This window comes from Homo sapiens, chromosome 2, assembly GCF_000001405.40.
Source record: "Homo sapiens chromosome 2, GRCh38.p14 Primary Assembly".
Taxonomy (NCBI): domain Eukaryota; kingdom Metazoa; phylum Chordata; class Mammalia; order Primates; family Hominidae; genus Homo; species Homo sapiens.
This window is the reverse complement of record NC_000002.12, coordinates 233,180,592-233,208,421: the sequence shown is the minus strand read 5'-3', so window position 1 is coordinate 233,208,421 and position 27,830 is coordinate 233,180,592. Positions and strand designations below refer to the sequence as shown.

Sequence of the window (27,830 nt, the reverse complement as noted above, 5' to 3'; positions counted from 1 at the left end):
GACACGGCTCCAGGCCCTGCCTGGAGCCCAGGCCTGGTGTCTGTGAGCAGAAGCAGAGGCCAGGCAGCCCAAGGTGGGGCAGAGGCGCCGTGGAAGTGGCCCGCACTGTGCCTCTGGGCGGGGGTCTACTCCCTGACCTGGGAACCCATGACCTGGGGAGTGTTGACGTGTTTTTTTTGTCACTGCAGCTTAAGTGGTGAAAACTTATAAAAGCTGGGAGGAACTTGTGGGCTGCAGGACAGCAGGTTTGGAGGGGATGCTCGTGGCCTCTGGGTGGCCGCAGGGTGCTTGGAGTGCCAGGAAGATGTGTGGGTGGAAGGAAGGAAGGGGTGCGGTTTACTCCTGTTCCTAGTCCAGGACCAGCTTCAAACTGGCTCTATGGTGTCCCATCTGGTCAGGGCAACACCATCCATCACCACCATGAACCCTTAACTGCCTCAGTTGTGCCCTGTGCAGGCCCTGCCATCTAGAAGGATATCTATGGCTCCGAATGTCAGGAAAAACGCCACACACACAGCTGAGTGAGAAAGGCACAATTTATTGGTTACGCAGACTTCCATCATGGGAATGTGGGGTGCATTCCCTTCTGCATTCACACACACCACTGGATTTAGCTCCCTACATTAATTCTGCTATGTTGAAAAAGCAACATAAGGAAAGACATCACCCATCTATTCTCCTAATAACCAAGGAAGCAGAGCTGAAAGCCACAGAGATAGGAAGAAAAGGCTGCACTATTTCAAGAGCCTGGAACCAAGAGGCCCACCCTCCCTGGCAGCCAGGCTGGAGAGCACGGCTTTCGGGAGCAACAGCAAAGACTCTTCTACCAGCACGATGGAATACATGTTGGGGGGCTTGGCTTAACTGTGGCTGGTGATGGCTGCCCACCTCGAGGAGGGCACAGGGAACCTGGCACAGGCCTTGGCATCTCTAGCCCAAGCTGAGGCCAGATCTCTCCACTGGAGAATAGGAGCTGATTTCCTGCTCCTTCCAACCAAAGAACTGAGAAGCCAGGTAGATCCCTGCTCTCAGCCTAGCCATGCCGGAACCCGCGGGACTTTAGCTAAAGCAGCTTGTGTCACTGAAGCTGGACAGAACAGGCTTCTTGTACCCTAAACAAGCTACCCAGACTCTTCAGCTCCTTAAGGCCGAGCCCTTGTCTCACTCCAGGAGGGCACTGGGCTTCTTAATGCTTTCACCCCTCCGAACACACACCGTTTTAAACTGGTGGGTTTGGGCACGTGGTTTTAGGTGGCTAGAGCCTCAGCTCTCGAGGTCATCCTGATATGACGAATGTTCGTAAAGCACTTAGCACAGCACTTGGCACATCATGAGTGTTCGATCCATGTGGCCATTATTATTATTAATATTATTATTATCTATATCTCCACCCTCAAATCGGCGCTGCAGTTCCTTTCTTCAGAATGGCGCCCTCAACGAGGCACTGGGGTCCCAAGTACCAAGAGCGAGCTGGGGACCCAGACTGTTTGTTGCCCGTCTGGTGTGCGTTTTTCTTCCAGCCTCAGCACTTGGTGCTAAGTCTCACAGGCAGTGAACTCTGTGGGCCACACAGAAGCTAGGCCCTTTCCTGAAAACACAAAGCCTTGCATAGGAAGCTGGGCAGGAGGAGCCAGCAGGAGGTCCCGGGAGAGGGTCCAGTGGCTTCACGCCGTTCCTCTGGGCTCCCGACTCAGTGGCAGCTCACTGAGGGCTTCACTGTGGGACAAGAACAGAAGGGCTGTCAGGGCTCATTCTCACCAGGCCATGTTGAACTAAGTGGCCCAGGTCCCTGCATGCTGTGGGCTAGGCCAGGCTTCCTTTAACGTGTAGCTGAGAAGAGCCAGCACTCACTGCTCTAAGTACTTTACCTGCTTATTTAAAAAAATTGTTTTTTAGAAATGGGGTCTTACTCTGTTGCCTAGTCTGGAGTGCAGTGGTGCAATCATAGCTCACTGCAGCCTTGAATTCTTGGGTTCCAGCTAGCCTCATGCCTCAGCCTCCCCAGTAGCTGGGACTACAGGTGCATGGCACCACACCCAGGTACGTACCATATATATATATAAAATATATACACATATGTAATATGTATAGTATATATATATGAAATGATATGTAATGGATATCAATGTAAATACATAAATATAAATATATAATTTCTATATAGATGATAATACATGGTAATAATACATAATAGCCTACAATGCAATTCTCCTTCTAAGTCTATGAGGTAGGTACTATTAACAGCCCCTTTTTACAGATGGGTAAACTGAGGCTCAAGGCACAGAGCCAGGAGGTGGGAGGGCTGGGATTCAAATCCAACATAGCCTGACTGTTCTCTTTTTTGAGATGGAGTCTCACTCTGTCGCCCAGGCTGGAGTGCAGTGTTGCGATCTCGGTTCACTGCAACCTCCGCCTCCTGGGTTCAAGCAATTCTCCTGTCTCAGCCTCCCGAGTAGTTGGGATTACAGGTGCACACCACAATGCCCAGCTAATTTTTGTATTTTTAATAGAGACAGGGTTTCACCATATTGGTTAGGCTGGTCTTGAACTCCTGACCTCAGGTGATCCATCCACCTCGGCCTCCCAAAATGCTGGGATTACAGTCATGAGCCACCACGCCCGGCCTGGAGTCTGTTCTTAATCACTGTTAGTTTTGCTCAAAAAATTTTTTATTTTACATGAAGGAGAGGGAAAGTGTGCTGAATTCTCCAAAATATTGGGAAATTTTCAAGTATGAATGCGACTTAATAATAACAATGAGGCTGGGTGCAGTGGCTCATGCCTGTAATCCCAGAACTTTGGGAGGCCCAGGCAGGCAGATCACCTGAGGTCAGGAGTTCGAGACCAGCCTGGCCAACATGGTGAAATCCCATCTCTACTAAAAATACAAAAATTAGCCAGGCATGGTGGCAGGTGCCTGTAATCCCAGCCACTCGGGAGGCTGAGACAGGAGAATCGCTTGAACCCAGGAGGCGCAGGTTGCAGTGAGCCGAGATCACACCACTGGACTCTAGCCTGGGCAACAAAGAGTGAAACTCCGTTGTTGTTGTTTTTTAATTTTTTTTTTTTTTTTTTTTTGAGACGGAGTCTTGCTTTGTCACCAGGCTGGAGTGCAGTGGCGCAATCTCGGCTCACCACAACCTCTGCCTCCCAGGTTCAAGCGATTCCCCTGCCTCAGCCTCCCAAGCAGCTGGGACTACAGGCGTGCGCCACCATGCCCGGGTAATTTTTTGTATTTTAGTAGAGACGGGGTTTCACCATGTTGGCCAGGATGGTCTCGATCTCCTGACCTCGTGATCCACTGTGCCTGGCGAAACTCAGTTGCAAAACAAATTTATAATAACAATGAGATATAAATGATTTAGGCTCCTTTTCTTTATGGAATCTTCTTCCTCTGGGACTGACACTAGACTAAGTTTATCCACAGCCCCGCCTTTCTTCCTTTTAACAACTGCTGCAGAGGCAATGCAGGGTCAGGGATGTGTGGGACAGGCAGACCTGGGTTCAAATCCTGACTCTCCCTTCTCATGGAGCAGTTCCCAGGACCATCACTCGCATGTGTGCACATGCATGCGTTCACACATGCACGCACATATGCATGCGTGCACACACACATGCACACACATATGCATAGGTACACACATACGCACTCACGCATGCACACACACACAAATGCACACGAACCCACGTGTGGCGCAGCGCACCTGCATGGCAGTCCTGCCTAGAGGCCCTGGTGGCCCCTCCTCCGGCCGGTGCTTGCCGTGATGCGGGAGCTCGGTGTTGTCGCGGTAGTCGCGGCCCTTGGAGTGCTGGAGGTGCAGCACCGCCGGGCTCTTGACTGGCAGCGGCGGCCGCGGCGTCGGGGTGGGCGGGGTCTGCTGGTTGATTTCCGATCTGGAAGGCTTGATGGGCCTCTTGGCCGGCACCGGGGCCTGGGAGCTGACCGGGGTCTTGGGCTTCCCTTGGCTCTTGTCCCCGCCGGCCGCCCTGCCCTCGGCAGAGGATGAGCACGTGAAGGAGCGCAGCCGGGGCGCGGGCACCTGCTTGCCGGGCCCCTCGCCGCGATCAGCCTCCTGGGCTTTGGTGAGCACGATGCTGGGCGACAAGATGCCGGGTTCCGGGCAGGGCGGGGGTTCCTTCCGCGGCATTTTGGGGGATTCCTGGTCCTTCCTGGGAGCAGGCTTAGGGAAGGAACTCAGGGACCCATACAGGGGGTTCTCAAACATCTCGGGCTTCGTCAGCGGCAGGTCCTCCTGAGGCAGCGTGTCCCCTGCGTTCTTCCCCAGGTCACTGGGCCTAGAGCCAGGGACAGAGCAGGGAAGACACATGTCCAGGGGAGAAGACATGGGAGCATGGCTGCTTAATGGCTCTGGGTCTTTCTTTGGGGTGATACAAATGTTTCTGAACTAGATAGAGACATGTAACATTGCAAATTTACTGAATGGCACCAAATTGTTTTGTCTTGTTTTGTTTTAGAGACAGAGTCTCGCTCTGTCACCCAGGCTGGAGTGCAGTGGTGCGGTCATGGCTCACTGCTGCCTCAACCTCTTGGGCTCAAGCAGTCCTTCCCCTCAGCCTCCCAAGTAGCTGAGACTACTTGGGAGTAGCTGGGAGTAGCTAGGAGTAGCTGGACATTGCTGGGAGTAGCAATGCCTCCAGGCCTGGCTAATTTTTTAGTTTTGTTTTATTCTGTAGAGATGGGGAGTCTCACTATATTGCCCAGGCTGGTCTTGAACTCTTCGCTTCAAGCAGTCCTCTCACTTTGGCCTCCCAAAGTGCTGGGATTATGGGCATAAGCCACTGTGCCCAGCCTAGCAAACTGTTCATTTTGAAATGGTTAATTTTATGTTAAGTGAATTTCACCTCAAGTGAAAAAAAGGAAGAGGAAACAGTACTGTGTTCATCATACGTTGTCCTCAAAGACAGCCTCAGTTCTGGCCTGGGACCTTTTCCACTATAAAACCTGTTCACATCAGAGCATCTGTGAGCAAGGGGCATGGCACTGGAGGATTTGTGGGAGAAATGAAGTGAGAACTTACATGGCACCTCAGTATCAACCCCTCATCCTCATCAGATGAGCCTGCTCTCCACAGCCCCTTCCCACCTCCCCAGTCAACAGGCCTCCTTTCCCGGTTCCTCCCATCCCCACCCCGCAGCCTCTCCTCTGACTCCAGCAATTCTGCTCCGACCCAGCATTTGCATGACCGCTCAGGAAGGCGATCACACCTCCTCCTCAGGAACCACTTGTGCTACTTGAGGGTGAAAGCTCAAGAGGCTCCATCTACCAAACTCATGTGTGAGACACTTTCCCAGGCACAGCAACACAGCCACAAACAAGGACAGAATCTGAGCTCAGGGGGCCCGACATCCCGGTTAACACAGTGTCCTTCCCAGCCACATGAAGTCCTCTCCCTGGAAGCCTCTCCTAACTCACAGTGGAAGGAACACGTGGTGGCTGTGGTGCAAGTCAGAGGGAACTTGGACACTTGCGAGTACTGGGGAAGCCAAGGCCAGTAGCTAGAAGAAAGGCCCACTCAACTCATGGGCAGGGGAAGCTCCTGTGTTGTGACCCAAAGTAGGCAAGTGCTGCCTTTGCTTGTTTGTGTTCTGATTTATCACTGCTCTGACTGGAGGTGATTTCCTGCTGAGCAAACTATGAGAACGAGAAATGGGAACACATTTTACTTCCTGACTAGCAGCAGAATCTCCCAGGGGAGTGTTCTGGGTTCTGCTTTCTACAGAAAAGGAAGCTATCGTGAAGAAATTGTGGATCGCTGGGAACCCACTGAGCTGTTGAGGCTGTTGCGCCTGTTACTGATGGGATGTGCACTGAGAAGCTGCTCACAGGCACTCAACAGTGACTCTGGGGAGCAGGTGTGGGCTCAGGGGACAAAGGCGGGATGTCGTCCTCACACAGGTGCCGGTGAGAAGCCATGGAGCTCCAGGGAGGCTGGCCTCCGGGACACACCAAAGGGAGCCTGACTGTGCACCTGGGGGTGTTGCCCATTAATTTTTGGAAACACCTTAGAGCAGGTGCATACATAGAAATGCTGGGGCCTCAAACAAGGACTTTGGAAAGGGCCCCCTCCATGTTCAGCCCTCTTCTGACCCCCGTGTGGACCCTCAAAGGCCGTTGCTGTGAGTTAGCCAAGGGAAGAGGGCACAGGAGGGTGCAACTGGCATGGTCACAAGTTTTCAGATGAAGGAGCAAGAAGTCCTGACCTCTGACCACCCTCTCTCAGGGGCTGAGATGGGAGGAGGGGGCTGACTTCAGAGAACTGGGGGCAGGACCAGGAAGAGCCCTGGGTGCAAGCCCTTTTGTGATTCTAAAGCTCACTCCTCTGGGAAAAGAGCAGTGAGATAGAGACCAGGGAAGCCTTCCCTCTAAGAGGAGGCTTCTGTTGCACTTAGAGAGGGGAAGCTTGGTGGGGCGGGCGGGGAAGACTGGGGAAAACCATGAAAAACTCAAAAGTAAGTCTTATTCCCCTGACCAAAGGTAACAAGAAATTGACTCCTATAGCAGGCCACAGTTGTTGAATAAGGGAACCGATATCTAGGGGACGAGTTGATTCCTGCAGCAAATGACTGTACTTCTCAGATTCAGGAGACGAGTCTCATCTCCAAAGCAGCTAAGCACTGGCCAGGGGCTGAGAAGAGTCCCCTTCCTAATTGCACAGCTTCGATCTGGGGTCACCAGTTGTCCTTGCTTACGCAGGACTGAAGGGTTTCCTGAGATGTGGGACTTTCAGTGCTAAAACTGGGACAGTACTTGGCAAACCGGGAAGGTCAGTCCCTGCACTTGGGTCTGGGTGATGGTGGGGAAACACTGATGGTGCTTGGAACACCCCCTTCCACAGCCTTTGCTCTGGCTGAGCCTGGGACCTGGAGCAGCGGAAAGGGATGAGGCAGGTGTGCGAGCTGCAGGGCTCCAGGCTCCAAGCGCCTCCTTGGTGAGCAGTGAGTTAGAAGCGTACCCTGGGGGCCCCTTGCCCGTGGATGGCAGCCTGTCTGCAGCTGTCACCATGGGGCTGTGGGGAGCATGCTCCCACCAAGCTGTGTGCTCGTTGTTATGCACCAAGATCCATTCGCTTTGGGAGCTGAAAAGCATTCACTTACACAAATAATCATGCTCCTTTTTCTTTCTGGTTGCTTAGAGCTCCATTTCCTGGGGTCTCCAAAGAGGTGGCCACACAGGCACCTTGATACCCACTGAATAGTGCCTTTTGTCCTCATATTTCCAGGGCAGGAAACTGAGGCTGTTTCTCCTCCCTCCAAGTTTCTTAGGGAATGACCAGGGTCTGACACCCTATCAACAAACTCTGTACAGAGGCAGAGAGAGAGACAGCTGAGCTGAGCTTCAGGGCTATCCTGTCCTGTCCTTTTCTCTCTCTCTTCCTGACTTCCTCTCATCTATTTATTTATTTATTTATTTATTTATTTATTTATTTATTTATTTATTTTGAGATGGAGTCTTGCTCTGTCACCCAGGCTAAAGTGCAGTGGCATGACCTCAGCTCACTGCAACCTCCGCCTCCCGGGTTCAAGCGATTCTCGTGTCTCAGAGACTCCTGAGTAGCTGGGATTACAGGTGTGGGCCACTACGCCTGGCTGATTTTTGTATTTTTAGTAGAGATGGGGTTTCACCGTGTTGGTCAGGCTGGTCTCAAACTCCTGACCTCAAGTGATCTGCCCACCTTGGCTTCCCAAAGTGCTGGGATTACAGGCGTGAGCCACCGCGCCTGGCCTATCCGTTTCTTAGAGCATATCTCGCATATTTTGAGAAATGAGACTGTCAACAGCTTCTCCATCCAGAGGAAGACCCTGCCAGGTCAGGCCTGGGAAGGGTGGAACTGGAGGGAGCTGGAGGACAGTGTGATGGAGAACACACCGCTGCTGGCTCTGCCCCATGTGGCGGACAGCACGCAAGTCCTCATGGAAAAAGGATGAAGAAAAAACCAGTGTTAGAGGAAGAGAGGCTGAGAGTGAACCCCTGAGGTTATGATAAGCCAGCAAAGAGCCTCAAGGGAAGACAGTGCTCAAGCTATCTTGCCCATCTTAAATCGTTGGTAATTGGGCCTGCACTTTCACGTCTGTCTGTCATCCTGTGGCTACTAGAAACATGTAGAGCTCCCCACTTGTGTATCCACGAGGTACCCATGGTTGGCTCTGCTCTGTTCCAGCAGCACCAGAGAGCGTCTGTGCCTTTGGGAAGTGCTGACCCTGTTCCTCGGCTGCGTAGCCCGGTCTCCTATCTGGCTTCCATTCTTCTGCCTGAACCAGTTCTAGACTCAGATCAGTTTTCTCCACCGTCCGGGGCTTCCCCAGAGTTTCAGGGCCGGGCCTCCTCTCTCTGCAGGCTGGCTGCCCTGCCTTTTACATCCCTAGTTCCAGTTTCTAACTAAGTGTCCCCTACAGGAGAGACTAGGAAGCTGCTTATAGAATGGGGAACCTCATGGTCGAGAAAAAAGAGGGGAACTGGAGGGTGCGAGCAGGCTCTACATGGAAACTCCCACCCTGTTCCACAGGGCCCTCTAGGGAGCGGGAGATGCCCAAAGGTTAACTAGCTCTAGAAACATTTTTTTTCTTTTCTTTTGAGATGGAGTCTCGCTTTGTCGCCCAGGCTGGAGTGCAGTGGTGTGATCTCAGCTCACTGCAACCTCTGCGTCCCGGGTTCAAGTGATTCTCCTGCCTCAGCCTCCCGAGTAGCTGGGACTACAGGTGCGTGCCAGCACATCTAGCTAATTTTTTGTATTTTTAGTAGAGATGGGGTTTTACTATGTTAGCCAGGATGGTCTTGATCTCCTGACCTCGAGATCTGTCTGCCTCGGCCTCCCAAAGTGTTGGGATTACAGGCGTGAACCACCGCACCTGGCCATTTTTTTTTTTGAGACGGAGTCTCACTCTGTCACCCAGGCTGGAGTGCACTGGTGCAATCTTGGCTCACTGCAACCTCTGCCTCCTAGGTTCAAGCGATTCTCCTGCCTCAGCCTCTTGAGTAGCTGGGATTACAGGCGTGCACCACCACACCTGGCATTTTTATGGAGTCTCGTTCTGTCGCCCAGGCTGGGGTGCAGTGGTGCAATCTTGGCTCACTGCAACCTCTGCCTCCTGGGTTCAAGCGATTCTCCTGCCTCAGCCTCTTGAGTAGCTGGGATTACAGGCATGCACCACCACACCTGGCATTTTTATGGAGTCTCGTTCTGTTGCCCAGGCTGGAGTGCAGTGGTGCAATCTTGGCTCACTGCAACCTCTGCCTCCTGGGCTCAAGCGATTCTCCTGCCTCAGCTAGGATTACAGGTGTGAGCCACCATGCCTGGCTAATTTTTGTATTTTCAGTAGAGACGGGGTTTCACCACGTTGGCCAGGCTGGACTCGAACTCTTAACCTCAAGTGATCCACCCACCTCAGCCTCCCAAAGTGCTGGGATTACAGGCGTGAGCCACCGTGCCCGGCCGAAATTTGTTGTTTTTTGAGACGGAGTTTCAGTCTTGTTGCCCAGGCTGGAGTGCAGTGGCGCAATCTCGGCGCACCGCAACCTCCACCTCCTGGGTTCAAGCAATTCTCCTGCCTCAGCCTCCTGAGTAGCTGGGATTACAGGCATGCACCACCACCCCTGGCTAATTTTGTATTTTTAGTAGAGATGGGGTTTTTCCATGTTGGTCAGGCTGGTCTCGAACTCCCGATCTCAGGTGATCCACCCGCTTTGGCCTCCCAAAGTGCTGGGATTACAGGCGTGAGCCACCATGCCCGGCCCAAAACATGTTTTTTGATATGTATATAGTTTTTATAGGAGGTTCCTTTTCTTGGCAATATCTTTACAAATTTTTACCCTTTAAAAAGCAATCGAGTTGCACTAACAGGTTAGGACATGGAAGACTCCACATACATGTCAGGGGCCTGCTGTGTTCAGGCCCCAGGGATAAGTCATGAGCCAAGTGGACACAAATTGTGGCCCTTATGAGGCTTCCATTCTAGGGTGAAAGCCCAAAGCCCAGGGCGCTTTCATAAGGAGGGAGGGAGCCGTCTTAATGAAGAGGATGCTCACCTTGACTCCTGTGTCCTGGGAGGGAGACCCCGGTTTGCTGTTGAGGGTAAAAACTTCTTGGGTGATATGGGCGGCTGGCCGGGAGGTGTCGGAGGACTTTCTCCCCTGCAGGGCCCCAGCGGGGAGTCCTTGGGCGGCTGGTCGTAGCTCCAGGCTGTGGGCTGCTGGTCAGGGGACAAGGTCTGCTTCACGTGCAGGGGCATTGGTGGCCCAAAGGGCCCCACTCCCATGTAGTTGGGGTTGATGATTTCAGTGATGCTGGAGCCACTGCACGGAGGGGCCCTGCAGGGAGGACATGGAGTCACATCTCAGGGGTCCCTTCCCTTCTCGGGGTCAGCACCAGCCCAAGGAAAGTGTCCTCTGATAACCCTAGGGCTCTCTCGAGCTCTCCTCAACTCCTTCACCTCTTGGGCAGTGATCCATTCATTCATTCATCTATCCATGCAACACCGTGATTACTGAGGGCCTCGTAAGCACCTGGCCCCAGGCCGGGAGGAGGGAATATGGCTGTGAGTGAGGCAGCCATGGTCTCTGTTCTTATGGAACTCACTTTTGATGGGAGAGAAAAACAAGCTCAGTGACACAGAGACACGGTATTGATGTAGTGCTGAAGTCTGAGAATAACAAGGGGCAGAGATGGGGACTAGTGAAGTGTTGGGACCAACTGGGCATTGGGTGACCCCAGGAGGCCCCATCTGAGGAGGTGGTCTTTCATCTGAGATAAGAAGATAAGCAGATAAGAGAGAAAGAAGGGGAGACTGTTCTCGGCAGTGGCAAGAGTACATGCAAAGGCCTCCAGGTGAGAGGGGTTTGGCCTGTTCCTGGACGGTCCGAAGGCTGGTGAGCAGGTGCAGAGGATGGAATGAGAAGCTGGCAAGGCTGGCAGGGCAGAGAGATGGTGGGGGGGTAGCCTGGGTGGCAGGAAGGAGGGGATTTTCAGGGCAGACTCCAGCAGGGGTTCCTCTGGAACACATCAGCTCACACATTTGTGTGTGCAGCGTCAGCATAGAGACAGCCATGTGCATATTTAGAAAAATGAGTGTGAGGTCACAGAGATCAAGGTTGGAGCCTGGAATTGGGGGCAATCAGCTTAAAGCTATGGAGGGGATGGCCCAGACCCAGGCAAGGTGGCCCCAACAGACACACTGCACGCTGCCACTGTGTCAGGCACCGGCCTCCTGAGAACTGAGTTCTGAGCGTATAGGCTGTCAGGGACACTCCACAGCTCCCATGTGCTCTGCCAGCCTGGTTCCGAGCTGTACCTTGTTCCCATCCACCACTGCCTGCTTCAGAAATAAATGCTCGTTCTCATGCTAGTCAAAATGGAAAAGAATTTGTTTCCCTACACTGATCCTGATTCTGGAACACAGTAGACACTTCAGAGCCAGGATGCATTTGCTGATGGGATTATCATGGGAGGGAAAGAGGGAAAGGGGATGCTTGTGTGCCCACGGCTGTGAACATCGGAAGCTGGAAGTGGATCAGGGAATGTGCTAGAGATGAGAATTCCTGTGTACAGCGGGGGTGGCTGGGGTGAGGGCAAGGGTTGGTGGGGATGAGTTGTGGGGAAGGGAGGGAGGAGAGGAACAAGCTATGTCTGCTGCTGGCATGGTTCTGCCTCCTCGGCTGGTGAGCCGGCAAAGAGACCAGAACTTGATTCTGGATCTCGGAGACCACATCGGTGAGTTAGGGCAGCCCTGCTACCAAGGACGTCTGTATTCTGGTAATACAGACTTTAACATCTGTACTATTCTCAGTTCAGTCTCTGCCAAGAGCAACCAGTGTGCATTTTCCCCCAGTGATTTTTCTTGCTAGTGGATAGGGTGGGGTTTGGTGGCCACAGATCCCATGATTGCTGGTGTCCTCTGTCCCACAGGAGACACAGCCACCATTTGTAGACTTGGAATCTCTCCATTCTCTCCGCAGTCACTTCTTCATGCACTAGGCCGCAAGTTCCTAAGTCAGGGACTGCACTGAATTTGCCTTGATTTCTCTAGAACTGGACACATCACAGGGACTCAACAAATGTTAGCTGAGTCAAACTGAACTTTCCGTCACATTAGAATTTCCCCAGCTTTGTCACAGTCACATCAACCTCTCCAGCGGTCAACAGACTCGCAGAGGAGGCAGGAGAGCACCTCTCCTGGGCTGGAGCTTCTTTCTCCTGTGTCCTGGGTTTCTCTGTGCTTCAGTTCACCTTCTCACAGGCCCTGGGTTTGCAGAGCCATGCTAGTGTTTTGTTTTGTTTTTTTTGAGACAAGGTCTTACTCTGTCGCCTAAGCTGGAGTGCAGTGACACAATCACAGCTCACTGCAGCCTCAGCCTTTTGGGCTGAAGCAATCCTTCCATCTCAGCCTCCTAAGTAGTTAGGACTACTACACCCAGCTAAGTATTATTATTATTTTTGAGACAGAGTCTCGGTCTGTTGCCCAGGCTGGAGTACAGTGGTGAAATCTCGGCTCACTGCAATCTCTGCCTCCTGGGTTCGAGCAATTCTTGTGCCTCAGCCCTCCAGAGTAGCTGGGATTAGAGGCGTGTGCCACCACCACGCCCAGCTAATTTTTGTATTTTTAGTAGAGATGGGGTTTTACCATGTCGGCCAGCCTGGTCTCAAACTCCTGACCTCAAGCAATCCACCGGCCTTGGCCTCCCAAAGTGCTGCGATTACAGGCATGAACCACCACATTTTTTTTGTAGAGACAGGGTCTCGATATGTTGCTCAGGCTGGTCTCAAACTCCTAGGCTCAAATGATCCTCCAGCCTTGGCCTCCCAAAGTGCCGGGATTATGGGCGTGAACCATCGCACCCGGCCAAACCATGCTAATTTGTCATGAGTCCCTGATATCCACCCCCCCCAACACCCACCCCACGCCCACTTTACCTGCTAGTGACTTCCCACTGCTTCATGGGGTCGTGGCTGGTGAGGCTCTTCAGGGTCTTTGGCCCACTGGATTCATCACGCTCCGTCTTCACAAAGTCTGGAAGGAAAGGGACGGGAAAGAGCATGTGAGGGCCCAGCTTCCAGAGCTTAGGCGAGGGATGGCAAAGGGGTTTCCATTTGCAGGCTGAAGCTGCACAGTGAATAGTGAGTACCTGGAGAGGTGAGTTAAGCAAGATTCTGAGGCCTCCTAAGAGTTCAGTGATTGATTAGTTATGCCTGCAGTGGATCCACAGAGAGGAGAGTTGGGATCCAGAGTTGCCATTTCATGTGACATTTCCAACTTACTGGTCTCAGCAAGAAACAAAACAGGCAAGTATGTTTTGTCAGATTAAAATAAACAGGCCAGGTGTGGTGGCTCATGCCTGTAACCCCAGCACTTTGGGAGGCCGAGGCAGGTGTGTCACTTGAGGTCAGGAGTTCCAAACCAGTCTGGCCAACGTGGTGAAACACTGTCTCTACTAAAAATACAAAAATTAGCCAGTGGTGGGCACCTGTAATCCCAGCTACTCGGGAAGGTGGGGCAGGAGAATTGCTTGAACCTGGGAGGCGGAGGTTGCAGTGATCTGAGATTGTGCCACTGCACTCTAGCCTGGGCTACAGAGTAAGACTGTCTCCAAAAAAGAAAGAAAGAAAAAAAAAGGCTCGGTGCAGTGGTCACGTCTGTAATCCCAGCACTTCAGGAGGCGGAGACAGGTGGATCACTTGAGGTCAGGAGTTCCAGACTAGCCTAGTCAACGTGGTGAAACCCTGTCTCTACTAAAAATATAAAAATTAGCTGGGCATGGTGGTGGGTGCCTATAGTCCCAGCTACTCTGGAGGCTGAAGATGGAAAATCACTTGAACCCCAGAAGTGGAGGTTGCAGTGAGCTGAGATCGTGCCACTGCACTCCAGCCTGAGCCACAGAGTGAGACTCTGTCCCAAAAAAAAAAAAAAAAAAAAAAAAAAAGCAGTTTAGAAGGTACAGAAACCTGGGTGGGCACCATGAGGGCAGGGTTTAGGTACGTACGAGGGCCTGTTTGTATATGGGAGTGGGCACCATGTGGCCGTGTGGGCAAGCAGAGGTCGCCCAAGAAATTCTAAATCTCATCTGCAGCTGTAGCTGTGGCCTTCCCCGGACAGCCTGGAAGGAGCCATTTAACAAGACGTAGGTTCGCTTGGTACACTGGGTCCTTCTTTTAGTGGAGGTGCTAATGGGGGAATGACAAGGCCTAAAGGCTGACAGGTGAGGTTCGGGGCCCTAAAAAATCCACAGGGTCGGGGAGGGTGATCTGGGGGTGCTGGATGTTGGGTTCTGTTGGGACATTTTTGAGTTGAGTGAGGGTTGGGCCAGATTGTCTGAGATCTTTTCCAGTGCTGGATTTCTGCTCTGAGGCCGCAGCAGAGAGCATATTCGACAGCTTTGCTGAGAGAAAGCACGTTCCCGTCCCTAAGTGGGGGGCTGAAGAGGGCGCTGGGGAGGGGCTTGCTGCTTACCATAGAGCTTCTCCCTCGTCTTGCCCTGAGAGGTCTGCAGCTTGATCTCCCCCTGGAAGTGGCCTGTCAACTCCCCATGGTGGGTGAGAGGCGTGTAGATGGGCAGCTGCGTTTCTGTGGCCTCTAACCGAAGGGCAATGCAGCCCTCGCCTGCAGGGAAAGTGGGAGACAGCTGGGTGAAGACCCTGCCTTTTCATGGCAGAAACACCAAACTCTTGGCCGGAGAGTTGGTCCTTTGAAACTATAGCCCAGGCAAGGGTTATTTAATAAATCCGTCAGAACAACACCACAGTACTTTGGGGGCAAATGTCTCAAGTCTTAGAACAAAACGTGGATTAGTTGATGTAAAAAAAATTATATTGTAGAAAATGCAGCAGAAAGACAGAATTAAACACTCATCTGATCGCTGTAGGGAATGAAAACTTCCCAAGATTTGATGCAGCATAAGACATGACAGAACAAAATTGGCGGGCAAGAGGACATGCAAGTTTAAAACTTGCACAGAGAAAAAACCTAAAATAAAAAGGAAACGGATTGGGAACAGTATCTGCAGCTAGCTCCCCAGGCAAGAGGGTACCCTCTCCAGCAGATGCATGAACAGATAATACAGACAGACGTTTCACACAAAAAGAATTGCAGCTGGTTAATTTTAATAAATGGAAAATAGTTCCACTTTCCTAGCCATCAAAAATGCAAACTAAGGAATCATTAAGTTGCTCTTTCACAGACATGAAGTTAGCATAGATAGGAAGCGAGAAAAATAACACCCAATGCACCGGGTGTGGTGGCTCACGCCTGTAATCCCAGCACTTTGGGAGGCCGAGGCGGGCTGATCACTTGAGGTCAGGAGTTCAAGACCAGCCTGGCCAACATGTTGAAACCCCCTCTCTACGAAAAATTACAAAAATTAGCCAGGGGTGGTGGTGCATGCCTGTAATCACAGCTACTCAGGATGCTGAGGCAGGAGAATCTCTTGAATCTGGGAAGCGGAGGTTGCAGCGAGCCAAGATCGTGCCACTGCACTCTGGCCTCCAAAAACAAAAAACAAAACCACCCAATGCCAGCAAGGATCTGGGGAAGCCTATCCGTGGTGAGGTCAGCTGAGACAGCCTTTATGGCAATCAGTTTGGTGTCAAGCGCCAAGAAGCACAAACACTGATTGACACCCTCTGATCCGGCAAACATGGGAACCTGTCCTAATGAGATTACTCAAAGGAATAAAAAATGTAGCTGAAGAATAATAAAAAATGTCCACAAAGAGATTCATCTCAGTGTTACTGATAGCACCAACAAAAACAACTGACAGAGCCTCAATAATAGTACTTTTAAAGTGAGGAATACTTTTAAAATGAGGATGCAGTAAGTCCATGGAATATAATGCAGCCATCAAAAGGAACAGTCACAAAGATGGGGCAGGAGAATCATGGAAAATGTGTTTCATCTAATACCAGGTGAGGGAAGCAGAGTATAAAATGATGTTTCTGTGATGTAAGTATGAAAATCTAGGTATGCCTATGTATGAGGCTGGAAATGTGAAACCAAAATAAAAATGATTACTGGAATGAGACTGTTGATGTTTTTCCTTTTTATTTTGATGATATGCTGCTTGTGAGTATGAATATGAAGCGGAAGAAACAAAGGAGGATTACAGTATATTATTTTTAAAGACATGGTCTTGCCGTGTCGCAGAAATACAGGATTTGAATGAGAAAATGAAGCGTGTGTTTTGCGTACTGCCTGTTTCCTGCTAACAAAGCTTCAAACATTTCAGCAGCCATTCAGATGCTCTTGCATCCGTGACGAGGGGATCCCTATTAGGGCCATCACACTCCTCAAGCTCTTCCCACCCCTCCTGCAGCTTGGGGACCCTCTTGCCAGTGCTGCACTGGGAACGGGGAAGAGCTGCCTGGGCTCAGGCCCAAGATCACGTAGTTACCTCCAACAAGCTGCTCAGTAGCTGCATGACCTTCAGGTCTCCCAGCCTCCTTTCCTCACCTCCCCAAGGAGGGGAGCGACAGTGCCCACACCCAGGTGTTGGCAGAGCCTGCACAATGGGAGACTATGCGTGGGGCTTTCATTTGTGTCTGCAGCCTCTTCCTCTTTAGTGACTTCCACCGAGCAGTATTCAAAGGTTTTCCATTTCAAATAAATAAGCACGTGGATAAATGTGCTCCCTTGACCCAGGCGCATTCTCCTCTGCCTCCCTCCTCATGCTTTGTTCACTCCTAAGTGCTGAGGTCTGATGTCACCCCAGCTCTTCCACGGACACTGCGCTCACCAAGTCTGCTGATGGTCTGAGTATCTCCATCTAAGAGACGCTTGGTCTTTGTGTTGGGTCCCTTGGCCACATTTGCTATTGTAACCACACCCTCTCCTTGACCCAACTCTTCTGATGGTGTCCCCAGCACAACAGCATTCTGGTCTTCCTCATATGCTGTGGCTGTGCCTTGGTCTCCCTTACCCGCGGCACTGCATCTAACCCAGTGCAAGAAGTAGAAGCATCATTCATGCAGCCGCTCAGACCCTGATATGGTTTGGCTGTGTCCCCACCCAAATCTCTTCTTGAATTGTCGTTCCCACAATCCCCATGTGTCATTGGAGGGACCAGGTGGAGATAATTGAATCATGGGGGTGGTTTCCCCCATCCTTTTCTCAATAGTGATAGTGATGGTGATGGTGAGTGAGTTCTCAAGAGATCTGATGGTTTTATAAGGAGCTTCCCCTATCAATGGGCACCCACTTCTCCTTCCTGCCATCATGTGAAAAGGATGTGTTTGCTTCCTCTTCTGCCATGATTGTAAGTTTCCTGAGGCCTCCCCAGCCCTGCAGAACTGTGAGTCAATTACACCTCTTTCCTTTATAAATTACCCGTCTTAAGTATGTCCTTACAGCAACATGAGAACAGACTAATACAGACCCTTTCCCCAATCCCAGGCCCAGACAGTTTTCTACTCCATTCCTCTCAATGTCATCCGCTTCTCTCCTTTTTTACTGTCACTACTTCTATTCTGGCTCACTCATCTGTCGTCTTGATCACTGCAGATGCGGATTTCCAAGATGTGAATCTGATCCTGTTACTTCCTTGCTTGAATCTTCAATGGCTCCCTACTGCCCTCGGGATAAGGTATTTGCTCTTAGCTTGGCTTGTAAGGAGAGGCTTGGCCTGGCTCCTGCTTCCTGCCTCTCTCTGTCCCCTCCAGGCTCTCTCTGCCTCTCTCACCCCATGGTCTAGCCACACATGTGGTCTAGCAAGGGTGAGCCTGACTTTGGGCTGGAGCCACAAACAGGCAGAGATGGTACAAAAGCCCCTGCTGTCTCTCTGGCTGTGGGCCTCCACAGCCTGCCTGGTCTGGGCACCAGGCGATGCTGAGCAGAAGACCAGAGAGCCCTGAGCTGTGTTTCCAGCACCCCAAGTCCCACTCAGGGGACCCTGAACGACACCTCAGCCCAAATTGCTCTGGCTGGGGAGAGGGGGTCTTCGGGCAGAGGGTGGCTCCTTGGGGGCAGAAGGAGCAGCCCCTTTGTGCCTGAGCAGGTGTTTTAGAGACTGGGTCAGCAGAGGGGAGTCCGCAGCTCCAGACCTGTGAGCTGAGAAGGCTGACTCAGGACACTTGAGAAGCAGAGAAGGGCAGGCAGGCCTGGGTTCAAACTAGGGCCCAGCCACCACTACCTATATGACTCGGGCAAGTCACTTGATCTTTCTGAGCCTCTGTTTACTCATTGGAGAACAGTAAGGTCTTGTCAAGGTTATATCACATGATACTGGAAAGTGCCTGGCACAGATCTCACACATAGGGAAGGCTCAATACATGGAAGGGGTTGCCACTGCTGGCTGTCCTGCCCAGAAGCCTAGTGGGGAGGGAAGGATGACTTAGTGGTGACGGTCCCACTAGCAGCCCTGGGATGAGGAAAGGAGAGGCAGGAGCCTATGACCGGAAGTGCCAGGTGAGCTCCCCTGAAGGCAATGCTACGTCAGAGGCCGCCAGTTCACAGGCAGGTGTGGCACCTGCCCACAGACCCTTACCATAGGATTCGTCGCTGTCAGAGGACTTGATGCTGATGAGGATGTGCTGGTCTAGCAGGTACTCAGGGTCAGAGATAATGGGCTTCAGCTGCAGAGAGAAGGGCACAGGACTGGAGTTGATGGGCAAGGGACAGGTGAGGGGACAGGTGGGTGGACAAGTGGATGAAGATGACGAAAGGTGTTCTTAGTAATCAGATCTAAATCTCTGCTGTCCATACCCAAGAGAGCAGGTGGGGTATAGCTTTCACATACACCCTGTCCAGCAAGGTGGGGGTTAGCTTCCTTCCCTGTCCCCCTCACCTCCACGCTGCACCCCAGGCCTCCTAAACTGAGCTGGCTCCCAGGTCCCAGCAAGAAGGCCTGACCCCAGATGGGCCCCATCCATTGCCCCCGTTCCTTCCCATCCCTAGGCCAGGGTCATAGAGGAGAAGGCAGGCTGGCGGGGAAGTGGGGCCAGGCACCAGGTCTGGAATGATCCATGCACTCCACCCTGCGCCAGGCTCCCCCTACAGAGCACAGAATTTCTCCTTGGCCCCCTCCAGGACTGTGGCTGCATCCCAGCCCTGCCCCTGTCTGGCTTGCCCCTATCTAGGGAGGATGCAGCCTCTGTGTCCATCCTGGCAGAGCCCCCAGCTGGGCCTGGAGTGTCCTACCGATTGTTGGGGGTGTGGCTCAGCGAATGACAGACACAGGCTCCCACATTCCATCTGCGAGCAAGTTTCCAGAGCTGGGGAGTGCCAGCTCCCCCAGAGGCCCTGCTGGCCTGGCTGGCAGCGGGGGTGGCTGCTAACAGGCTTTGCACAGCACTGGCCAGTGGGGGCTGTGTCCGGGCAAGTGCAGGGAGGAGCATCACACGCACACTAGCTCCTCGTCTGCCACGAGTTATGACTTTTTCAGATGTGGGGCTGTTTCTCACGATGACTCCCATACAGAAGGGCCAAATAAAAAGGTGATACTTTGTTCTAGGCGATTCCCTCCCTTCCTTTCCAGACACCAAAAGGCTCCTGGTACAGGGCTCTGGGCACCATGTTGGCCAACAGGGCAGACTCACTATATCTCCATTCAGAAAGTTCCAGGCCAGGTGCAGTGGCTCATGCCTATAATCACAGCACTTTGGGAGGCCGAGGTGGGTGGATCACTTGAGGTCAGGAGTTCAAGACCAGCCTGGCCAACATGGTGAAACCCCGTCTCTACTAAAAAATACAGAAATTAGCGAGGCTTGATGGGGCGTGCCTGTCGTCCCAGGTACTCGGGAGGCTGAGACAGGCAAATCGCTTGAACCTTGGAGGCGGAGGTTGCAGTGAGCCGAGATGGCACCACTGCACTCCAGCCTGGGCAACAGAACAAGACTCAGTCTCAAAAAAAAGTTCCAGAACAGATGACTGGAAACTGCAGTGGAGCTCTGGGTACTCCAGGGTTCTACAGCTGCACCAATTATCACTTGGCTCCTGGCATGAGGTGATGTCAGGCTCTAAGCTAGACCCAGGGCCAGAGCTGGGGTTCTTGGATGCTGGAGGAAGACCCGGTCCTCCCTGGGATGGAGTGGAAATGGGGTGACAGACATCTGAACAACAAATGTCTCTGTGCGACACCACCACCCTGGCAGGCGGTGGCAGGGAGGAGAACTATCTAGGGGGCCACAGCAGGGATTTACAGGGTGAACAGAGGAGGCCGCCAGGCAACAGGGGTGGGGCGGGGGTCAGGGAGCAGGAGACGGTGAAGGCCCCTGCAGTCCTGTGGGAACAGCAGATGAGGCTGCTTGCCTCACTAGGCAACAGGGAGTCGACCGGATAAAGAGGGGGACTCCAGGATCAGAGAGGCATTCCAGAAAGATCCATCAGCGTTCAGGATGCCTCAGCAAGAGGCAGGAGACAGGAGGAGTGGACCCCCTGGGAGGGGGCAGGGGGACTGAGGGAGGGGACAGAGGCAAGAGGAACAGCAGGACTTGGCGGCTGTGAGGATGTGGGGAATGGAGGAAGACAGGGGCCCTAGGGGTCCCTGAGCTGGACCAGGGGGTGAACATGTTGTGGAATGGGGTGCTGCTCTCTTTTCCACCTTCACCAAAGGAGGAAACTACTGTTCAGGCCCTGCCTGGAAGCAGCCAGGGAGGAGGAGCAGGAGGACGGGCTTGGGCCGGGTGAGGCAGAAATGTCTCCTTGGAGCCCAGAGCCCCCACGACTCAGGGGCCTGAAGACAGCCCCAGAACAGGGACTTCTGACAGCTCTTCTGGGGCTTCAGTGGGAGACCCCAGTCAGAGCCATGTGAGCTGGCCGCAGCCTCTGAGTAATTTGGAATTGTGCCGCAGCTGGGGGAATCTGGAGTTCAGGCATCAGCCTCTGCTCCGGAGATGACATGGCCTTTTTACATGGCCTGAGAGTTGGTTCCAATCAAAAGTTAATGCCAATGTGGGTCCAGCCCCCTGAAACCTGCCAACATCCTACCCCAGTCTCAGGAGAGAATGGTCCCTCTGCCTGCTTAAGACTGTCCTTTTAAAATTCACCTCGAGTGTCACCTCTGAGGGAATCTCCTAGGGGAGCCTCCAAGACGCCCCACCTCCTGTGATGGATCTGCCTGGCCTGGGACTCCCCTTCATTCCACCCCTCCCTCATGGTGCGAGAAAGAAACTCCACTTCCCACCCAGCATGAACAACTAATAAGCTCATAATAAGCTTGTACTCGAGGACACCCAACATCTCCACTGTCAATTTAGCTCCACAAAAGCAGTTTCAGTAGAAAAACAAATGAACAAAAAAAGAGACAGCGTCTCACTGCATCACCCAGGCTGGAGTGCAGTGGCATGATCATAGCTTACTGCAGCCTGGATCTCCTAGGCTCAGGTTATCCTCCCGCCTCAGTCTCCAGAGCAGCTAGGACTCCAGGCATGTGCCATCATGTCTGGCTAATTTAAAAAAAAATGTTTTAGGCTGGATGCGGTGGCTCATACCTCTAATCACTTTGGGAGGCCGAGACCAGTGGATCACTTGAGGTCAGGAGTTGAAACCAGCGTGGCCAACATGAGGAACCCCATCTCTACTAAAAGTACAAAAATTAGATGGGTGTGGTGGTGCACATCTGTAGTCCAAGCTACTCAGGAGGGTGAGGCAGGAGAATCGCTTGAACCTGGGAGGTTGAGGTTGCAGTGAGCCGAGATCATGCCACTGCACTCCAGCCTGGGCAACAGAGCAAGACTCTGTCTCAAAAAAAAAAAAAAAAAAAAAAAAAAAAAAAAAAAAAAAAAAAAAAAAAAAAAAAAGAAAGAGAAAAAGAAAAAAAAACAAGAGAAAAAAAATTTTTTTTTGGTAGAGATGGGATGTCACTATGTTTCCCAGGCTGGTCTTGAACTTCTGGGCTCAAGCAATCCCCCTGCCTTGGCTTCCTAGGTGCTGGGATTATATGTGTGAGCCACCACACCAGGCCAGAAAACCATTTTTTCTATAGCAAAGAAGAATGTGTTCCCACTAAGGTCTGGCTGAGTGTTTCCAATTCCACCCTCTGCTCTTTGCAGGGCCACAGACATGTCGAGTACTTCGTGTGTTCACAAGTGTATGATCAGTAGCCAATGGACCCCTCTCTATGCCTCTTTGTACTCGATTCTATGAACCAGCACTGAATAGGAAAACAAGCGTCAAAGAGGGGATCGGGGTCTTGGGGTTGCGTCCTAGGTGTGTTACTGCAGCCATGAGGCCATGAGCAAACAGCGCTTGGCCCTGCACCTGAGTTTCCTTCTTTGCAAAATCATGTGGTTAGACGAGCTGACCTCTAGATCCCTTCTGTGATCCTTTAGGGGAACTGAAACCATTTAGGAATAATAAGGCCACATACCCACTGCTGTAAAGTGTGTTACGAACCACCTTGAGCGAGAGCTTGCTCCTAGAGTGGGTCTCTTTCTGCATTTGGTCTATGAGATTCCTGCTTCCTCTGGTCAGGCCTGGCCATAGCTCTGCCACTGGCTGGTACTACTGGCCTAGTAAATGCAAATCTCCCTCTGGGGAATGCCTTGCTCTAGAATTACCTTTGGAAGAGTCTCACCAAACTTCACCACCAGCTCCCCCTCACTTCCTTCTTCATTTTCTCCTTCCTGACTCTTGACAAAACCTGTTGGAGGACAAAAAGGCTGGTTTTCAGAAAACAGAGCAAGAACCAGACAGAAAAGACTCCCTGGGGTCACCCCACCCAGACCTAGGAAGATGTGCTCTCTCCTTTTTTTTTTTTTTTTTTTTTTTATCTCGGGGCCTCAGCATCATTTAGGAGTCAGGCCTGCCGGGGATTCTGTTTTTGTGCAGGGATTGGTCATTTGCCAACATGGTCTAATTATTTTTAGGAAAATCAAAGAGATTCCCCCTCCTTTTCAGTTCCTCTTTGCAACAAACCAGGCAACAAAGAAATCATCACATCACAGGCAAAAAGATTAGGAAACTTGACAGCTCGTCCCACGCCACTCAAGATAGCAGCCTTTTGAAATTCTAATTTAAGCTTCCTAATATGCTGTTTCCATAGAAATGTATGGAACTGTCTTGATAGTTTATTAAAAACACCCGCACAAAAATCCTCATCATTTTTCGAACCGCTTTGACCCTGCTGGGTGAACTGGAGCTTGGGGACTCAGTGACAAAGGCCGCTCTAGCACCAGGCCTGGGCCCACCTCAGTTGGAGAAGGAGGCAGGGACCAGAGGGGCAGAACTGGCAGCACACGCTTCTTCCTGATTTCTGGAAGCATCCCAGCCAGGCCCTCACAAAATGCCCTTTTGAGGAGGTGATGCCCCCTTTTCCTCCCCCGATCACTGTGCAGACCATCTCAGCGAAGACGGCTGGACACACGCAGCTCTTCCCTAGCCATGAAACAGCTTTAGACAATCTGCCTAGAAATGTCACCCGGAAAGGGTGTTTCCTAAACACAGTTTGTGCTAAAGGCTGCTGGCTCAGGGGAGCCTGTCCATCTCCTGCTTGCTTTCGGACGCTGCAGTCCCCCCGAGAAAGACGCTGTGATCTCCAACGAGCAAGAGGGGCCAGGGCGACAACAGGCAGCTGCTGCTCAGGCCCTCACACCGGCTCTTTGAGGTCTGGACCTGGGCCCAACACTCTCTGGTTGAGTCAGAGCCCCAGCTTGCAGGGAACCTAGAGTGGGTCACAGTCCACCCTGAGGGCCAGGGATTGGACCCTGCTTGCCACCTACAAGGGACTGGGGGGTCAGTACATTCATGGCCACCCCTGCCCCTAGGGCTGCACAGGCCACAGGGGGACCCCTCACAATAACTGAGTGTCCCCTTGAGTCATCCACCTGCAGCCCCACTTCTCTGATCAGCTTCGTGAGTCCTTTCCAGGGAGAGAAGATATGGGGCAAAGTGCCAAGTATGAAAGGTGTTTATAAGAAGGCTCCGGGCAGTTCTGCCCAGAAGGTGGCTCAGCAGCCACTTACTCTCCAAGCAGCTCGAGTGGAACTCCAGGTAGAATTTGGTCTGGGACTTGGTCTTCAATGTGGCATAGCACCTGAGAAACTCAATCTGTCCTTGGCTGTCAACAGTCCCGGGACCTGGAACAGGGGAGAACACGGATTCAGTTCCACAATGTGCCTGGAGATGGAGCATTTCAAATTAGTTCTCATGCCACATACTGAGCTCCTTCTCAGGGTCCCAGGAAGGTGGGAGTCTAGTGGGAGGAGAACTAAAGCTACAGCGAAATCCAGCACCCAGCCGAGCATCCTCAACCTCTCTGATGCATCGTGAGCTGGCCAGGGCAGAGAGCGGGGCAGAAAGATGCAGAGTCCCAGGAGTCCGGACCTCATTTCATCTCTGTCACTAAAGCTGTGTGACCTCAGGCAATACCCCCACTATTTCAGGCTCCCAGCTAGTTCCAGCAAAAAGACTTTGTACAATGGCTCGGTTGCTCAATACCCAGATCAATGCTGTTTCTGAGTTCAGATAATGAGGGCTAGCAGCTCTCTCTCCCTTAGGCACAGTTATCCCCACTCCTTCCTCTGGACTCCATAAGCTCATTTGTACAGAGTTAACTTGCCTGCAACTGTATTAATTTAGACGATGCTTTTGCAAGCATCCTTAAGCTGCTTTTAAACAAGTGTTCTGTCCTTTCATAGAAATTTTGAGCCACAGAACAGAGACTTGTTCGGAGACCATGAACAAACCTTTCCTTCCTCCATCCCTCACATCCTTCCTTCTTTCCTTTCTCTTTCTAAATCCCACAGTGCCCAGTCCAGGCTTGGCTTAGGTAGATGCCCTGTCAATGCTCAATCCCCGTGATCAGTGTTTTCCAGCATCTGCTGTGTACTGATCCCCCGTGGAGGGAAGCCCAGCCTGACATGGAGGATGCCCTACCCCGGAATAGAGGAGGAGATGGCAAGGGCAACCCCTTCAAGGCTGCAGGAGCTCAGAGAAAGGAGAGATGGGTGGAAGTCGGGGAAGAGGTCCTGCCTAAGGACTAGGAAGATTCTAGAAAGGCACAGTGGCCAGACTTAGGAAGGAGACACGATGGTGGGTCAAGGCTTGGGTGGAGGAGGGAGGTCACATTTCTGGGGCCATGGATGTTAGATACAATAGGATAGATAAGAGCACCCCAGGAAGACAGTGCTTCGGCCTCACGTGTGTCCCCCAGGGCATGAAGGACACAGAGCAAGATGGTCTTTCCCTGTATTTGGGTCCCCTACGCTTGGTCTTCCTAAAGGAGCCCAGTGACCACTGGGCTGACCGCGGAAGCAGAGACTGGGCAGAGACAACATGGCTCCCTGGTCACCTAGGCCAAGGGCTGGATGGGCACATTACAGAGAACACCTGGCCCAGCTGGGATGAGGGTGGCCTGGCAACCAGGGCTGAGCTGGATTATTTGAAAAATTACCTGCAAATCTAAATATTATTTACTGTGGTGTTTCCCAAAACTCAGTCATTTGCATCCCATCTTAACGATTTTTACCATCTCTGCCTACCACGCACCTGTGCTACTCTTTACTTCATATTTTCTCTAAATAGACTCACTTTTTAAAATTAAGTGTAGCTGAATAAGGTATATCACAATATTAAATGGAAAAGTAATGGTGCTTGCCTTAAACAGAAGACAGAAATGTAAAACATGTTAAAACAAAGGCATTACTAATAAATGTTTATTCATGTCCCCCGCCCCCTCCTCCCATCCCACCCGGAGAATTATCTTCAGTGTCTTCAGGCCACACCTTGGTAAACACTGATTTACCCACGTTTTCAGACTAAAATTGAGGCTCAAAAGGCTGACATACTTGCCAAGCAGAGCAAGTAAATTCTCTGGACTGCAATTGTGCTGTGGCTGGGACATGAAGAAACTGACTGATATTGTGGACTTGCCTGGGAAAATGAGCCTTCCTCTAATGCAGACCACTGACTGCCACCTGAAGACAAGCTCCCAACACTCCTTGTCATTGAGGAAAACAGAGAAACAGACACCATCCTTTGCTTACCGTTCTTGGAGACAAACTGGGAAGTGACTCCTGCCTCAAATGTGGCAAAGACAGGGCTGTGGTCACTCGTCATGATGTCGCTGGTACTGCCTGCAGGGGAGGGAAGGCATTTTTAAGCAGGGAAGGAGAAGCCCTTCCGGTCAGGCCAAGGATGGCAACCCTAAAGCAGAAAGAAACTTTAGTTATGGAGCCCTCCAGAAGTGCGAAGTTTTGCACCTGTTGTCCTTCCACAGCAATGCTTAAAGGGTTCAGTGGAAGACAGTGTGGACACTGCCTCCTCCATGGACAGAAGAAGCCTGTGCTCATTTTTCCTAAAGACCTAAGACTTTTTGAATTGATTAGGGAGTGTGAACCATGGAGATTTTTCTGGTCTAATCATTGTACTTATTTATTTACTTATTTTTGAGACAGAATCTTGTTCTGTTGCCCAGGCTGGAATGCAGTGGCGCGATCTCGGCTCACTGCAGCCTCCACCTCCCAGGCTCAAGCAATTCTCATGCCTCAGCCACCCGAGTAGCTGGGAGTACAGGTGCGTGTCACCATGCCCAGCTAATCTTTGTGCATTTTGTAGAGATGAGGTTTTGCCATGTTGGCCAGGCTGGTCTTGAACTCCTGACCTCAGGTGATCCACTCGCCTCGGCCTCCCAAGTGCTGGGATTACAGACGTGAGCCACCACGCCTGGCTCACTTTATTTTATTGATGAAGAGCCCCAAACACTGGGTGGGAAGGGGACTTAAGGCCACTCAGCTCATCGGTGGGAGAGACGGGACACCTTTTCCATCCCACGATGCCTCATAGAACCGGGAGAGAGTGGAGGACGCTAAGTGTAGAAAACTCTGTTAAGGAGCTTGGTGCTCGGGTGAGAATGGAGGCAGCAGAGCACTTTGGGAAGGGGCAAGAGAAAGAGGACAGTTCTAGAAAGACAGTTCTTTCAAGATAGCCCGTTGGAGATGCCTGGCAGGAAATGGGCACTCAAGGCTGGAGATGCATCTTTAGATGTGGAGTCTTAGGATTAGGTGGAAGCAGAAGACCTGAGCATGTCTGGGCTTTCACACGAAGGATGAGAAGAGACGAGGATGGAATTCCAGGGCACACCAACCATGAATGGGCGGGCAAAGGAAAAACCGCCAGCAAAGGAGACCAAGAAGGTGATAAAACAGACTTGGCATCCTTTTTAGAAAGCATTTACAAATCAGCAAGAAAAAGATAAACACTCCACCCTTCAACCAACCAAAGGATATGGACAGAAAATTCACCAAAAAATACAGATGGCTAATAAACATGAAAAGAAAAAAAGCTCACTTACTAAGGATCACCAGAGAAACACATGGAAACTATGAGACAGAACAGAGAAAGGGACAGGAGAGAAGGATGGGAGTGGGGGCACTGGTTGGTAGTGGAGAAGGAATAGATGGAGTCAAGGGTCCAGGGGCAAAGGCTAGGCAGGAAAGAAAGAGGAGGCTACCCCTTCTCTGAGACAGGAGGGAGGAAGATGCGAGGGCATCAGCCTAAAAACTGGACCTGAGGCCAAGCACGGTGGCTCATGCCTGTAATCCCAGCACTTTGGGAGGCCGAGGTGGGTGGATCACTTGAGGCCAGGAGTTCGAGATCAGCCTGGCCAACATGGCAAAACCCCGTCTCTACTAAAAATACAAAAATTAGCTGGGCATGGTGGTGGGCGCATGTAATCCCAGCACTTTGGGAGGCCGAGGTGGGTGGATCACTTGAGGCCAGGAGTTCGAGATCAGCCTGGCCAACATGGCAAAACCCCGTCTCTACTAAAAATACAAAAATTAGCTGGGCGTGGTGGTGGGCGCCTGTAATCCCAGCTGCTTGGGAGGCTGAGGCGGAGAATCACTTGAACCTGGGAGGCTGACGTTGCAGTGAGCCAGGATGGTGCCACTGCA

At 51.8% G+C, this 27,830-nt stretch overlaps 1 protein-coding gene and 1 pseudogene across 4 annotated transcripts in view; both read right to left on the bottom strand.

The window, feature by feature from the left end:
* Positions 519-27,830, bottom strand: part of INPP5D (inositol polyphosphate-5-phosphatase D) — a 147,562-nt gene continuing 120,250 nt past the window's right edge. For 2 of the 4 annotated variants that reach the window (NM_001017915.3, NM_005541.5), the window contains exons 19-27: positions 25,923-26,012; positions 23,901-24,014; positions 22,497-22,579; positions 18,485-18,572; positions 14,461-14,610; positions 12,927-13,023; positions 10,046-10,327; positions 3,705-4,296; positions 519-1,716 (exon numbers count right to left, since the gene is read on the bottom strand). In NM_001017915.3, coding sequence (NP_001017915.1) covers positions 1,714-1,716; positions 3,705-4,296; positions 10,046-10,327; positions 12,927-13,023; positions 14,461-14,610; positions 18,485-18,572; positions 22,497-22,579; positions 23,901-24,014; positions 25,923-26,012 — 1,499 coding nt within the window. In that variant the 3' untranslated portion in view covers positions 519-1,713. The remainder of the gene's footprint in view (positions 1,717-3,704; positions 4,297-10,045; positions 10,328-12,926; positions 13,024-14,460; positions 14,611-18,484; positions 18,573-22,496; positions 22,580-23,900; positions 24,015-25,922; positions 26,013-27,830) is intronic. The other 2 variants (XM_047444219.1, XM_047444220.1) reach the window with 1 other exon arrangement.
* On the bottom strand, positions 2,943-3,223 carry RN7SL32P (RNA, 7SL, cytoplasmic 32, pseudogene; annotated as a pseudogene).